Genomic DNA, 13,770 nt, shown 5'->3' with positions numbered 1-13,770 from the left:
GGGCAGGATCCCCTCTCTGGCTCCTGCTCCCTTCATCCCCATCTGTAATGAGGCTAATCTTAGGACCCTCCTTGTAGCGATATCAGAGTTAGCGCTTAATTTTTTTTTTTTTTTTTTTTTTTTTGAGGCAAGGTCTAGGTGTGTGGCCCAGGCTGGAGTGCAGTGGCGCAATATTGGCTCACTGCAGCCTCCACCTCCCAGGCTCACGCCATCCTCCCACCTCAGCCTCCAGAGTAGCAGGGACTACAGGCACGCACCACCACAACCAGCTAATTTTTGTATTTTTTGTAGAGATGGGGTTTTGCCATGTTTCCCAGGCTGGTCTCAAACTCATGAGCCCAAGCAATCCGCCAGCCTCAGCCTCCCAAAGTGCTGGGATGACAGGCATGAGCCACCAAGCCCGGCCTTTACTGCATAAAACTTTAGTTCCTGCTTCTTTGGAGGAAAGCAATGGAGGTGTTGATCGTGGGGTCCTGGGCTCCACCCCATTCCTGGGCGGGGGGGGGGGGGGGTTGGTAGTCCTGCTGCTGGGTGCCTGCCTGCCTGGGGGCTCTTGCAGTTGCCCAGATACACAGACGGGCCAAAGCATGAGTATCACAAGTGGGTGGCAGTCTGGTAGCTGCTGCTGCCTGGCTGTGCCCAGAGCCTCTCCCTGTGGGAGGCTCCAGTAGGGTCTTGAGGTTTACCACCAAGCCAGGATAACTGCCCCCCATGAAGGGGCCGGGTGCTGTGGGGTGAGGGCCATGGACCACCAAGTTGGAGTTATGTGATCCTGTAGCCAAGAGGCCTATAGTTGTGGGGACCTGTTGGGCATCTACTGGAAGGTCACACCAGCCCCAGCACCCTAGGAAATCCAACTTCCCCACCCCACCCCTGACAGCCATGGCTCTTCCTCTCACCCTCCTGGGCTTGGAAATGTGTGGATACTGTGCTGAGGGCTTGGGACACCTGCCCAGGCTGGACACCCAAGGCCAGACTGTTAGAACTGTTCCCCTTTGGGTGCCCCACTCCCGGGTAGGGGTGGTGGAGAGGAGGGAAGGGCCTCTGTAAAAAGAGGAACCAGGCTGGGTGAGGAGAGGAGGTGGGGGCCCAGGGTCACGCGGCCCCAACGGGCCGGAAAGGGCTCTCCCTCACCCCCATCAGCACAGACATTCGGGCAGGGAGTGTGCAAAGCCAAAGGGCAGACTCGGACATAAGAGGAGGCAGCTTCCCTGCCTCAGTTTACCCCCTGCGTGCATCCAGGCACCTCCCTCCCCGGCTGCCCTGGGGCCCGGGTCCCCAGAGGCCCGGGGTCCCTACAGTGGCTGGGGGAGCGGAAGGCGAAGCCCTGAGGGGTGGCGGACCGAGTCCTGCCAGCGCCGGCTGGGGGCGGGGCCGGGAGGCCCGCGCTGCTAGGTCCCCGCCCGCTGGTTTCCTCCGGGGTCAGCCAGGCTCCTTATCAGGCGCGGCCAGGCAGCCTGGCCCTTATCTGCACTGGGCCAGCATCCTCCGGCCGCTGCGCCGCCAGGGGTGAGAGGGAGGAAACCGGGCCGCCGGGGGCGGGGAGAAGGCGGGCCGGCCCGGGAGCCGCTCACTTTCCCTGGGGGGGACCTACGCGGAGACCTCGGCTATCCTGGCCTTCCGAGGCCCACGAGGAGGCGCGGCCCAACGCCGGGGCCTGGAGCATTGAGGCCGGACCCTCGCGAGACAGCAGAGCCTGGCCTGACGCTGGAAACCACACCCTGGCCCAGACTGCCAGCCCTGACGGGACAGAGCCAGGGCACTCACCAGGCTGCAAGAACAGTGCTGGGGTAAGAGGGGAGCGGGCCTAAAGGTGGAGGATCCCGGGCCTGGGACCCAGCCTGCATTCCTTTGTTCATTCCTTCATTCATTCATTCACCAGCAGGGACCCACTAGTGAGGGGCCAGGCCTGCTTCCCCAGGGCCTAGCTGAGGAAGACAGGGCAGAGGGGCCAACAGTCTCACACCTTGCTGGGACATCCTGGACTCTGGAACCAAGAGCAAACAGGGATGTCAAAACAGTATGCAAAACTGTGGATGATCGCGGGGCATTGTGGTGCATGCCTGTAATCCCAGCACTTTGGGAGGCTGAGGCAGGAGGATCACTTGAGCCCAGGAGTTCCAGACCACCCTGGACAACAGAGTGAGAACCTGCCTCTACAAAAAAAATTTTTTTTTTTAAATTAGCCGGGCATGGTGGCACATGCCTGTACTCTCAGCTACTCAGGAGGCTGAGACAGGAGGATGGCTCGAGCCCAGGAATTTGAGGCTGCAGTGCACTATGATTGCACCACTGCACTCCAGCCTGGACAACAGAGGGAGACCCTGTCTCTAAAAAAATAAACAAATTTTAAAAAGCGTGGATGCTGATGAGGATGGGGGCTTCCAAGCCAGAGGGAGGGTTGGGGCATGACTGGACTGGACTGGGCAGTGGGGTCAGTGTTTGGGGGTCTAGGGTCAGCATTTGAGGTCATAGTGTCAGTAGTGGGGTCACAGGGTTGCTATGGGGGATGTTTGCAGTGGGAGTGGGGGTCACTCAAGCAATTATGGAGCACTTTCAGGGACAGCAATGGGAAGAACCGCAGGGTCATTCTTGAGGTGCAGAGGGTCAGCCTGGGTGGGGGCTGGGGGCCTTCCGTGAAGGGTCAGAGTCCATCTTGGAGGGATTCCAAGCTCACATGGCATCAATGAGTTAATGAGGAGTCTCTGGGTTGGATCTTTAGATCTGAGGATAACAGGGTTAATCTTGGGGTTTCTGGGGATCCCAGGATCAGTTAGGGGCTCCCTGTCTTGTTCCCTCTCCAGGCTGCAGAGGTGAGGGAATTCTGGAAGAAGGAATATTTGCTCAGAGGCTGGGCAACAGCGCCCCTCCTGGGTCACAAAGAGCTCAGGGACAGTGCGCTGCCTAGCACCTGGGGGGCGCCTCCTACTCTAACGTAGGACCCCCCTCCCGTGTCCTGGAAGTTTCTGGGCCTGCCCCCGCCATCTGCCTTTGCCTACTGAAACTTCTCTCCTCCTCCTTTCCCCCTCCCCCTCCCTCCTTCCCATTTGAGGGGTTTCTTGAGCTAAGCAGGTGGGAGCGGGGCACCTAGTCCTCCTCCCCACTGGCTGCCTTCTTTCCCACAGGTGAGTACCCCCACGTCGGGGTCCATGTGCCCGCCTCAGGCACAGGCAGAGGTGGGCCCCACCATGACTGAGAAGGCAGAGATGGTGTGTGCCCCCAGCCCAGCGCCTGCCCCACCCCCTAAGCCTGCCTCGCCTGGGCCCCCGCAGGTGGAGGAGGTGGGCCACCGAGGAGGCTCCTCGCCCCCCAGGCTGCCACCTGGTGTACCAGTGATCAGCCTGGGCCACAGCAGGCCCCCAGGGGTAGCCATGCCCACCACAGAGCTGGGCACTCTGCGGCCCCCGCTGCTGCAACTCTCCACCCTGGGAACTGCCCCGCCCACTTTGGCCCTGCACTACCACCCTCACCCCTTCCTCAACAGGTCAGTGGGGATCTGGGGTGGGGGGCAGTGGGGATTGGGGGCCAGGGTCCTTGCCCACAAGGCATTAGTGACCCACGACCCCTTACAGTGTCTACATTGGGCCAGCAGGACCTTTTAGCATCTTCCCTAGCAGCCGGTTGAAGCGGAGACCAAGCCACTGTGAGCTGGACCTGGCTGAGGGTGAGTGTGGGTTTGTGTGCCTTGTGGGTTTGTATGCCTGTATGTGCACTTGTGGGTGCACAGAAGGCCTGGCCGTCTCTGTGTGGGGCTCATGTCTGTCCTCTACTCCACCTCGGGGAGACGTGCTTCCAGCACACACAGAGAACAGCCCACATAGGTTCTACCCATGTGCAAAATCGCAGTCCCATAGCCAGCCCCACACAACCACCGCCACCCAACAGGCCAAGCCATGTAGCCGCAGTCACGGCAAAACAGAGCATGCCACACCAGGGCATGGGAGCCACAAAATGACAGCTCCACTGGAATGTGCAGCCACGCAAGACAGCCACAAGACCACAGCCATGCAAGAGACAGCCACAGGACCACAACCACACACAAGACAGCCACAGGACCACAGCCACTTAGGACCACGGCCACACAAGAGTCAGCCACACAACCACAGCCACTCGTGAAACAGCCACATGGCAACATCACACATAACCACAGCCATGAGACATAACAAGAGTCTCACACAGTCATACAAGACACAGGACACAGACAGTCATAATGAGAGGACCTCTCAGACCCATGAGTACACCCAGCCAGCCGTACTTGGGCACAATCAGAATGAGGGCCCCACGGACAGCTTCCCAGACCAAACAAACACAAGGAAATCTTTCTTTAGGGAATCTCAGTCATTGACATAAAGGTGCCCATAGTCACAGATACAGCAGGCCCTTGTCCGTAGGCCGGGCCTGTGATGATTCTTGTCTGGATGGCTCTTGGGAGGGGTGGGGAGAGCTGCCCGTGGACCCCTTGGGTGGAGAAAGCCCCAGCCCATGGCCTGGGTTTAAGTTCCCACGAGGGTGCTGCGTGTCTAGCGGGAGGGCAGGAGGGGCCGCCCTTTGGGCCATGGCACCAACCCGGCCCTCCTTGTCCACAGGGCACCAGCCCCAGAAGGTGGCCCGGCGCGTGTTCACCAACAGCCGGGAGCGCTGGCGGCAGCAGAACGTTAACGGCGCCTTCGCCGAGCTGAGGAAGCTGCTGCCGACGCACCCGCCCGACCGGAAGCTGAGCAAGAACGAGGTGCTCCGCCTAGCCATGAAGTACATCGGCTTCCTGGTGCGGCTGCTGCGCGACCAAGCCGCAGCTCTGGCCGCAGGCCCCACCCCTCCCGGGCCTCGCAAACGGCCGGTGCACCGGGTCCCAGACGACGGCGCCCGCCGGGGATCCGGACGCAGGGCCGAGGCGGCAGCGCGCTCGCAGCCCGCGCCCCCGGCCGACCCCGACGGCAGCCCCGGTGGAGCGGCCCGGCCCATCAAGATGGAGCAAACCGCTTTGAGCCCAGAGGTGCGGTGACCGCACGCGGCAGCACCTCTGAGCCGGAGGGCACCAGGGACTCGGCCCAGGGCCGTCAAGGAAAGGGCAGTGGACGTGCTGCGCATGTTCGGGAGCGAACTCCCCCGAAGAAGGACCAGTGAAGACGTCAGGGGCAAGGTCTCGGGGGTCCGGAAGGGTGATCATCGACCCCCAAGGGACCCGCAGACCCTTAAAAAAATCACCCACAACCCTCTGGAAGTGGCCTTGCCCGGTCCCCTTCCCAGGGGCGAGGTCGGCAAAGCAACATGGCAGAGCAGTCATAGGACCCAAGTGGTGCCTCATTTTTTCCGGGCTGGGGTCGCGGGGGGAGGCCAGGAGGGGCTGGGGAGGCTTCGCTTTTCTCACCGTCGGCCCCTCCGGGAGACCCAGGGGCAGACGCTCGTCGACGGCGTCTGCTGCGCTCCCGGCGCTTGGACAGAGGCGCAGAATCCAAGTCGGGGACGCACCCTACCGACCCCGACCCAGTCCCGCACGGTCGCGTTAGCGAAGGGTCAGGCGCTCTCGCGTTTGTTTTTCTTTATTTCTTTATTTCACATACACATTAGCCATTCAATGGAGAAGCCGGAGAGAGTCAGGCAAAGATGGTATAACAGAAGCGCAGTGACGGGGGCGGGGCGGGGCGGGGCGGAGAGGGAACAGACGGGCTGGCTGCCTACTTGCATTCCGCTAGGACACTGAAAACCCAGAAAACAAAACAGACAGTAAACTACCCTTGTTTCTTATGTATCTCAGTGCAGAGACGGGGGTGGAGGGCAGAGAAGAGGGGGAGACCAGGCTGAAGGAGGAGGAGCAGAGGGAGGGGGACGCTAAGGGGGAAGCACACCAAATCCATTAGTACTATATATAGAGATACTCGTATATACTGCGTTTCTTAGCCTAAGAAGAAACTTGTTTGACGGGACGGGCGGCCTTTGCGGTCCGCGATGCTGGTGCTGGTCGGGCGCACGGATCTCCCGGGAGGGGCCGAAGCGGGGCTGGCCCAGGCTGGCTTGCGGGGGGAGGGGGGCGCCCCGAGGGTGGGTGGGGTGGGGGGGAGCAGAGGCGGGGCTGGGGTGCCCCTCGGGCTCTCGATTGGGGGACGAAAGTTCTCGTGACTTTATTGCTCCTTTATTTTCTCTCGTGTGGGGGGGTCTGTTCAGCACGGTCAGGGTGGGGGAGTGGTGGGTCGTCTGAGCCACCCGGCCCCTCTGGGACCCAGAGCGCGGCGTCCGCTCCGCCAGCACGGGGGTGAGAACAAGGCACTAGGTCGGCCGGCCAGCGCGGGGGCGGGTGTATAAGGCAGTCGACAGGGCTGGTTGCGGGGTGGGGCGGGGCTGTGTGCGGGGCCGTGTGCGTGCGTGCGTGCGGGCGCGGGCCTGGGCAAATCGACCTGTCAGCGTGGCTGGTCCTGTCCTGGAGCGTCGAGCCTTCCCGGTGTTCCCCGGAGGGGGTCGGGGATAGGATGAGAGATGTTGAATGGGGGCGGGAGGGGCGCCGGGAAAGGGGGGAGGAAACTACCAACTTGCTGAGCGCGCTCCTGATAATGCTGGTGAGGGTCAAGTTGGCGTCTGGCTCAAAGAAGGGCGCTCGGGGCGGAGAGGGAGGGAGGGAGGGGACGTTTGTTCGTTGGCATTGACCTCTGCGGGGGAGGGGCCGGGGACCCCTGCCGCGCCCCCGTACCCGGACGGGGATGGGGCGAGGAGGGGTGCTGGGCCCCAGGGAGGGGCGCCCGGGGAGACCCGCGGCCGGAGCAGTCCAGCCGCCGGGGGCACGCCGCTGTCCCGTTCCGTTAAACTCAACAAAGAAGGGATATGCGTATTCCTAACAAGTGCAGGATATTTAATTGATTCATAAACTTATGTATAATAGTTTGTGGGTTCTTTAAAACGTACTTTATAATGTAAGAAGCACCAGGGTTTTATGTTTAATTATCTTAAAAATAATTTTTCTCTCGTCCTTTTCCTTTTTGATCTTGTGTTGGTTGATTTTTTAAATGTCGAGGTGTTTTTTTTAAACTCTAAAATGTGAACGTTTCCTTCAGCCCTCCCACCGAAACAGAACGAACGACGAAACAAATAAAAACCCCAGATCATCCTCGTCAACGCAGGAAAACGACTTAAAAAAAAAAAAACTAAAAACGAACAAAAAAAAGGGAAAAACACTCAGCTTTCGTTATCCCCGCGCAGGGCGGGGCAGGCCCGGTTCTTTTAGCGTCCCCAGAGCCGCGAGGACATTACAACAAAAATAGAATTTTTTTTTCTTAATCTCTTAACATACAAAGATAGGAAAACTCTCTGATGCATTGCACTTGGTTCAATGAAAAAAAAAAGTTAATTTCCCCCATATATATTTTTGTTTTTTTTTTTTTCTCTCCTAACACGTCCCCACATCTCCTGTTGCCCTCATTGCCCCTCACAACACCACTTGGGAAAGGAGCAGCCCCCACCCCCTGCCCGCCCGGGCAGCCCCGCCGGGCACGCTCCGGCCCGGGCCCAGCTGGCCTGCAGCTTCCGACCTCGCCCGGGCAGGCGCCCCGCAGACCCTAGCTCCCACAGTCCCACAGAGCCCGAGCCCTCGACTGTCGTCGAGGGAAAGGGCACGTGGGCCGGACAGGGAGCCCCTTCTGCTTCGCTCTCAGCTCTGACCCTGTTTAGCCAACCGAACTGAAAAATCATTGCACTTTGACCGCGCGTCACGCCCGGCCCACCCGGCCCCCCACCCCCGGGGCCTTACTCCCCACGCCCCGGGAGACTCCCGCAGGATCCACTGCCCCTCAGCCCTGGGGTCCTCTAGGGCTGCACGCTGAGGACAGGGGGAGGGCTTCACTCAACTTCCAACAAAAGCCGCCCCTGGAGCCAGCCACCTTGTGGCTTCCAGCTGGGTAGCAGGCACCGTTCGCCTGCCGCTACGGCCCCAGGTCGCTGACCTCCTCCCCTCCCGTCACTCCCTCCTCTTCCCTCCCTCCGCCAGCTCGGGGCCACAGCCTCACAAACTAGATTCACAATAAATACAGCCCATAGCCCACCCCTACGTGGTGCAATGTTGATTTTCTCTCAGAGGATCCTGACCTGTGCTTTGTGTTTTCATACAATTAAGAAAGAGAGAGAAAGAGAGAGGCACAAGGACTCAAGAAGGGGCCAGGAACGGGAGACGCAGGAGGAGGAGTAAGGCACAGAAAGACAAGCCAGAGGGGCCAAGTCACACCCTGGAGGGGAGCTGGGCGTGCTCATCCTCCCCTCCCTCCCAGGGGGGCTTCTGAAGACCCTCTGGACAGGCCCCCCAACCCTCCCTTGAGGGAGGAGGGGGCTGGGGGGGAGAGCTACTTCCTGTGGTGTGTTACCAAATTGTTCCCAAGTTGCTCAAATGGAGGAGGAGTTCCCATTCCAACAGCAAAAGACCCAAACAATGAATGCCCCACCCCTAAATAAAGAGTAAAGACATTACAGCTAAAATCCAGAGAAAAGTGGCCACGTGGGGGGCGGGGAGGCGGGGGAAAGTCGGGGGGCACAGAAAGCTCCAAAACACTTTTGAAAAGGACGACACCCAACACCCTCCCAAGGAACTGAAAGTCGGCGAGCAGGACGCCTACCTAAGCGCAGGTGGTGGCTTAGCGCGGCAGCGGCGGCTGCCTGGTCCTCCTCGCTCGGCTCCGGGGTCCCCTTTCTGCTCCACCCTCCGGCCCGGCCCCAGCAGGGCAGTCTGCATGAGGGGCAGGGGCAGGAACTGATGGGGCGGAGCGAGGGCACCTGCATGCAGGGCTGGGGGCGGGGGCGACCTGGGGCCCGACTCCCCTCCCTCGTGGCAGGAAGGAGGCCCTCCTGGCCTGCAGAGAGAGGGGAAAGGGGGCCTGTCCCAGGCTGGGACGAGGCCGTCGAGAGCATTCCGACTTTTTCCTACGGACTGTACAGAGGGGTCCAGGGCCCCAGGACTGCTCTTGCGGCTCAGGGTGGGGTGTCAGAACACCCTCCATTCTGGGACACGCAACTAGCTCCAGGGGTCACCCCCTGCCCGCCTGGGGGCTTTTAGCCCAAGGGTGGGGTGGGGTAAGTGGAGGCTGCTCTCCCCCTCCTGGTCGGGAGCAGCTGGGGGAAGAAGCTGGAGCCTTGGCAGAGAGGGAGGGAGGGAGGGAGGGAGGGAAGGGCGGAGTCTGGAGGGGAGAGCCTGAGGGATCTAAACCCCATCATCTTTACAAGCTGGCCCTCCAGGCTCCCTAGGGCAGCTCCGGCTGTGTGGAGGGTGGGGTTCCCCTAGGAAGGGGTGAGGGTGGAGGCCAGGCCCCTTCAGAATTGTGCTGGTTGCTTTGTTTGGGGACTTTGTTCCTTCCCCAGAAGGCCGGGGCGGGGTCAGGGGGAGGAAGGCAGTTCTGCATCCTTTCTTGCTTTCTGTCCTCTACTTGACAGAGTCCATGTCGCGTGTTTCTTTCTGCTTGGCTGCTGGTGCACAGCTCCACCGAGACCCCTTCCAAGGGCTCTCTGAGAACTGGGCTGCTTCTGGGGCCCGCGGGGGTCCCCGGGCTGGAGGAGAGAAGGGCTGAGTGGCTGACGACGTGTAATTTTTGCTTTTCGGTGGGGCTGGGCTGGGCTGGGGGATTTTTCCATTCTCAAAATTTCTTCTCCCCCCTTTCGAGGAACCTCTTCTTCTCATTTTGTTGTTTCTTTTGTCGATCTTATCAGAGGAACCAGGACTGAAACAGGATGAAAAAGAGGCGATACTGAGAACAGCTGGGGCAGGTCCCATCTCACTCCTACCTGGCCCAGTGACCTGGCCCCTCAAGGGTCCAGCTCCCAAAGAGCCAGGGTGCCGGGCAGCCACCACCCACCTTGTTCCCATGGAGAAGAAAGGGCATCCCCATTCTCTCCCTCCCTCCTGCGAGAACCCCGCCCCCTCAGAGACTCTGCCCCTAGTGCTAGAGTCCAGCTGGCCTTCCCGTGGGCACTGTGCCCAGCGGGTGGGACCCCCATGGCTGGCGCTGGCACAGGCCTGAGATCTGGCCATGTTTCCAATTGTTTAGGTTTTTGTGTGGGTCCTGGAGGGTGGGGAAGATGCCAGGCTGGGGCTTTTGTACCCAGAGGGGTTTTAGGAATGGGTTGGGGGTGGCCCAGCTTCTTGCTGAGTTTTCTTTCTGTCTCTTTGGATTAAAAGCAGAAATTCCCATCTATATACCCCAGCCAAGGTCCCACAGGCTGAAAGACTGGGGGCAGGGGAACCACACAGCTTCAGTCCCTAGTAGCGCCAGGCCTGGGGGAGGGGCCACGTAGCCCATGGTGCTGGATCCTCTACCCTCAGGGCACCAGACATTGAGGAAGGACTTGAGGCTCCCTGGGGTGAGCGTCATTTCCTTCATATCGCCAGCAGGGGGCGCTGCCTTCCCACAGACAGGGCCTTGTCTTGTCTGCCTGTGTCTGGTGGCTCAGCTCAGAGCACACCCAGGGCAGACCCCAAGGGTCTGGGCTGCTTGGCTACGCCCTCCATCCAAGGCTCCAGCCCCACCTCCTGGCAAAGTGGTGGGTCAGGGTCTACTGTGGTCTACTGGGCCTGGGTGCACCTGGTAGTACCGTTGGGGCAAAATGAGGGTCCCTGAAAATGCATCTTGGGACCTCTCCCAGGCTGTCACAGACTCTGGTCTGCAGGGGCCAGGCGGAGCCAACTACAGAGCACATACCAGGTCCTGGTTCACTCCACCCCTGCCCTGACCCCACCAGGAAGCTAGGCACAGAGGGGGTACGTGACCTGCCTGAGGCCACACAGCCCTCGGGCAACAGAGCCAGGGTTCAAATGTAAGGGGCAGTGCAGGCTGTGCTCCTAACTGCTGCCTGTGCTGCGAGCACGAGGAAGCAGGGTCTGTGGTGGCCAGAATGCCTGTGCCCTGCCTAGGGTCAGGGTGAGGGCCCAGGGCAGCTCATCTGCCAACTTTTCAAAAGAAGCCAGAAGCCCAAACAGAATTTCGTGTGAAAATTTCCAATATTTAAAACATTGCTTTGGTCAAACATTCTGCCTGCAGGCCAGACCTGCTCTCAGGCTCTGGTTTGGGACTGAGGATAGGGACACTGAGTTTCAGAAAGGGCCTTGGAGATCATCTAGCACTTTCTGTGACAATGGAAATGTTCTCATTTCCATTGCAGTAGCCACTAGCCACAAGTGGTTTCTAAGCACTTGAAATGTGGCTACTGTAACTGAGGAACTAAATTTTTCTTTAGTTAATAATTTAAATGTAAACAGCCACACGTGGCCCGTGGCTACCACAATGGACAGTGCAGATCAAGAGCATCTGGAAATGTGGCGGTTTGGGATTGCCACAATGAGCAGGCGCTGCTGGGTGGGCAGAAATGCTAAATTTCCTGTATGTGCTGGACAGTACGCACAAGAGACCTGCCCTCCCTCAGTGGGGCTCCTCGAGCACCTGCCCCAAGTCCAACCGGTCAATTGACTACAGGCCAAACAGAGGCTCATTGGGGCCTGGCGAGGCTAAGGCGGAAACCCAGGCCTGAGGCATCCCCAGAGTGGGTGGGGGAGAACCGGCCCGCAGCCAGCTCCTGGGCTTCTGGCCCAGGCCCGGGGGTGGGAAGCGCCTGGGCTGGGTGACCCCCACCTGCCACAGGCTTGGGCCTGTTCCCTGGGACCCCCTTCCCAAGGGGAGACTATACAGGAACCCTGTGCCATTGCCCCGAGGTTGAGGGGGAGGCTGACTCTGGTGGTAAGCCCACCCCTCTCCTCACCAGGCAAATGAGGCTTGTGGACAATAGGACAGGGAGGGCCCCACCTGCCCTATCTGCTCCTGGCAGATCATGCCAGGGCCTCACACTGGCCCCTTTGGGGTCTCCTGAGCTGTACAGTTGGGGACAACTGCCAATGCTCAGACTGGGGGGTCCTCCTCAGGGAAGGAAGACTCTGGTTCCAGGTCTGGAGTTAGGGACAAAGGCTGCCCCAAGGGGGCTCCCCGGCACCTCCCCACAGGTCCCAGAAATGGGGGATCTGCTGCCAAGCACAGAGTGGCTTTCTCTGCTCACCCCTCCCTACTTCCTGAGCCAGGTCCAAAATTGATTAAAACTAAGTAAAAAGCGCTGCCCAGGGAATGACAAAATTGCTAAAATTCTCTTTTCTTCCCTCATTCTATTGTTCTCTCTCCATCTGGTGCTCCAGAGATCAGCTAAAGTCACTGGTTACTGTGGAAACCACCCCCGGCTGTACCCCCTGCGCCCGCCCGTTGCAGCCGCCTGCCTGCCCCCAGGCCCGAGGGCTCCAGCTCCGCTTGTCCAGCTTCCGCTCCCCCAACCACTCCCAGACACACCTGCCTGCTCAGGGGCCCTGGACCCCCGCTGGGACTCCTTCCTCCTACCTCCTGGAGCCTAAGACACAGGGAACATGGGGGGAGACAAACTTTCCCTAAACTCTGACTTGGCCCCCAAACGTCCAAGCAAAGTGAGCAAAGAAAGTAAAGGAGGCAGCGGAAACAGGGTTAGCAGGGACGGCTCGTGGCAGTGGTCCTCGGAGCGCACGACCGCAGAGCTGTGAGCAGCCCAGGCAGGCAGCAGGAGGGAGGGAGCGATGGAACCCTGAAGCCTGGTGCCAGCCCAGAGCTGGGAGGGGAGGCCCGCCTGCTGTCCCTTCCTCTCGCACCCCCTCCCGCCTCTGCCAGCAGGGCTCTCTCGGCCTCCCTGGCACAGAGCAGAGGGGGCTGGCTCCAGCCCCTGCTCGGAGCCATTGTTTTTCTTCTCAGCACCCCCAAGTTCAAGTTCATCTGGGTGTTACATCATGTCTGGTTGCTCCTGGAAACCAGACGGGTCAGACGTGACTCTGGGGAAAGGGGGTGGGAAGCTGGAGGGGGTTGAAGTTCTCTTCCCCTCCCCTCCTTGCCACTAGGGAGCTCTGAAGTTTGAAGTTTGACAAAGTTTTTTGGCTTTTTTTTTTTTTTTTTTTTGAGGGAAGGAAAGGAAAAGAAAAAAAAAAAAACAATCTCAAACCACACACACAACTTCCATCCACCAACTTTCTCTGGACTCAGGCCCCAGAACAGAGGCAGAGCAGGAGATGAGAGGTGGCCCCAGGGGCTCTTGAGAGAGGTGGATTTCCCCGGGCTGAGGACACCTCCAAGGTGGTGTTTTTGTAAAATGTGCAAAAGAAAGATCTTTGCATGTTCTTTTTCAAAACCCTGGGTGGTAAAAGCCTCAGGCCCCCTAAAGCTGCCTCTGTCCTCCTCCTGAGATGGGTCTTCCCTGTGCCCCCAAGGGCACTGGGCTCTGTGGGCACTGGCCTCTGGGGTCTCCACCTGGAGGGCTAAGAGTAGTCTTATGCCCTGCTTGTGACGGGGATCTGTCTCCTGGTGAGAACTAAGGGTGGTGTCAGCAGGGGATAGGAGCAAGGATGAGGTCTCCAGCATGCTGGCCTTCTCCCTAACAGGACTCCTGGAGACTTGGGTGAGGGGCCTCTAGGGTGGCGGCCTGCCCTGCCCTGCCCTCAGTGCCAGTTCTGGGCACGCAGCCCACCAGGCCCTCTGTCCCTCCTCCACCCGTCACCCAGCCCACCCAACGCCAGGGGAAAGGGGAGGGCTAGGGGCCGGGGCTTCCAGTCGGGGCAGGTGAAAGCAGTGAGGCAGACTCTATTCTCCTCCCGATGGGCCTCAGGCTTCCATCTTTGCTTCTACCAGGCCTGGCCCAGAGGGCCTCTAGACTTGGGTCCTTGGCCGCCTTCCCCAGGGCCAGGGCTGTCAGAGCTAATTATCCAATTAGCTGATTAGCCAGGGAGCCTGGGGGCTGCCTGGGGAGACAGGC

The 13,770-nt window shown here is 59.9% G+C and overlaps 2 protein-coding genes across 14 annotated transcripts in view, besides 8 other annotated features; one reads left to right on the top strand and one right to left on the bottom strand.

Annotated features, from left to right (window-relative positions):
- Positions 790-1,710: a transcriptional cis regulatory region, noted in NCBI's record as "promoter|chr19:13213425-13214345 region (GRCh37/hg19 assembly coordinates) targeted for CRISPR interference". NCBI's record gives its function as "negatively regulates CALR, DNASE2 and KLF1 gene expression in K562 cells {active_cell/tissue: K562}" and the evidence as "EXISTENCE:mutant phenotype evidence [ECO:0000015][PMID:31784727]".
- Positions 1,081-1,690: a silencer, noted in NCBI's record as "silent region_10190". NCBI's record gives its function as "represses an Ori minimal core promoter by ATAC-STARR-seq in GM12878 lymphoblastoid cells {active_cell/tissue: GM12878}" and the evidence as "EXISTENCE:reporter gene assay evidence [ECO:0000049][PMID:35858748]".
- LYL1 (LYL1 basic helix-loop-helix family member) lies at positions 1,463-5,288 on the top strand. Its single transcript, NM_005583.5, has 4 exons — positions 1,463-1,790; positions 3,126-3,484; positions 3,573-3,664; positions 4,587-5,288. Exons 2-4 carry the CDS (start codon positions 3,150-3,152, stop codon positions 5,000-5,002), a joined length of 843 nt encoding a protein of 280 aa, NP_005574.2. The 5' UTR covers positions 1,463-1,790; positions 3,126-3,149; the 3' UTR covers positions 5,003-5,288.
- Positions 3,964-4,023: an enhancer, noted in NCBI's record as "active region_14106". NCBI's record gives its function as "activates an Ori minimal core promoter by ATAC-STARR-seq in GM12878 lymphoblastoid cells {active_cell/tissue: GM12878}" and the evidence as "EXISTENCE:reporter gene assay evidence [ECO:0000049][PMID:35858748]".
- Positions 4,083-4,946: an enhancer, noted in NCBI's record as "H3K4me1 hESC enhancer chr19:13210189-13211052 (GRCh37/hg19 assembly coordinates)". NCBI's record gives its function as "activates a minimal SCP1, AML or CMV promoter by ChIP-STARR-seq in primed H9 embryonic stem cells {active_cell/tissue: H9 hESC(primed)}" and the evidence as "EXISTENCE:reporter gene assay evidence [ECO:0000049][PMID:30033119]".
- Positions 4,304-4,413: an enhancer, noted in NCBI's record as "active region_14105". NCBI's record gives its function as "activates an Ori minimal core promoter by ATAC-STARR-seq in GM12878 lymphoblastoid cells {active_cell/tissue: GM12878}" and the evidence as "EXISTENCE:reporter gene assay evidence [ECO:0000049][PMID:35858748]".
- Positions 5,525-13,770, bottom strand: part of NFIX (nuclear factor I X) — a 103,322-nt gene continuing 95,076 nt past the window's right edge. For 8 of the 13 annotated variants that reach the window (NM_002501.4, NM_001365982.2, NM_001271044.3 and 5 more), the window contains one exon: positions 5,534-9,686. Coding sequence is in view for 7 of the 13 variants with exons in the window: in NM_001440616.1 (NP_001427545.1) it covers positions 9,672-9,686 (15 nt within the window). In the remaining 6 variants the exon portion in view is untranslated. Of the gene's footprint in view, positions 9,687-13,770 lie in introns of all 13 variants that reach the window. The other 5 variants (NM_001365902.3, NM_001378404.1, NM_001378405.1 and 2 more) reach the window with 1 other exon arrangement.
- Positions 6,154-6,293: an enhancer, noted in NCBI's record as "active region_14104". NCBI's record gives its function as "activates an Ori minimal core promoter by ATAC-STARR-seq in GM12878 lymphoblastoid cells {active_cell/tissue: GM12878}" and the evidence as "EXISTENCE:reporter gene assay evidence [ECO:0000049][PMID:35858748]".
- Positions 7,539-8,402: an enhancer, noted in NCBI's record as "H3K27ac-H3K4me1 hESC enhancer chr19:13206733-13207596 (GRCh37/hg19 assembly coordinates)". NCBI's record gives its function as "activates a minimal SCP1, AML or CMV promoter by ChIP-STARR-seq in primed H9 embryonic stem cells {active_cell/tissue: H9 hESC(primed)}" and the evidence as "EXISTENCE:reporter gene assay evidence [ECO:0000049][PMID:30033119]".
- Positions 8,714-8,803: a silencer, noted in NCBI's record as "silent region_10189". NCBI's record gives its function as "represses an Ori minimal core promoter by ATAC-STARR-seq in GM12878 lymphoblastoid cells {active_cell/tissue: GM12878}" and the evidence as "EXISTENCE:reporter gene assay evidence [ECO:0000049][PMID:35858748]".

This window comes from Homo sapiens, chromosome 19 (assembly GCF_000001405.40).
Source record: "Homo sapiens chromosome 19, GRCh38.p14 Primary Assembly".
Lineage (NCBI taxonomy): Eukaryota > Metazoa > Chordata > Mammalia > Primates > Hominidae > Homo > Homo sapiens.
Note: the sequence above shows the minus strand (reverse complement) of the source record. Positions and strands in the feature narration are given on the sequence as shown.

Coding starts and splice junctions, on each gene's coding strand:
- LYL1 (NM_005583.5), top strand. CDS start 3,150: ATGTGCCCGCCTCAGGCACAGGCAGAGGTGGGCCCCACCATGACTGAG. Junction 3,485..3,572: donor CCTCACCCCTTCCTCAACAG/GTCAGTGGGGAT, acceptor GACCCCTTACAG/TGTCTACATTGGGCCAGCAG. Junction 3,665..4,586: donor TGAGCTGGACCTGGCTGAGG/GTGAGTGTGGGT, acceptor CCTTGTCCACAG/GGCACCAGCCCCAGAAGGTG.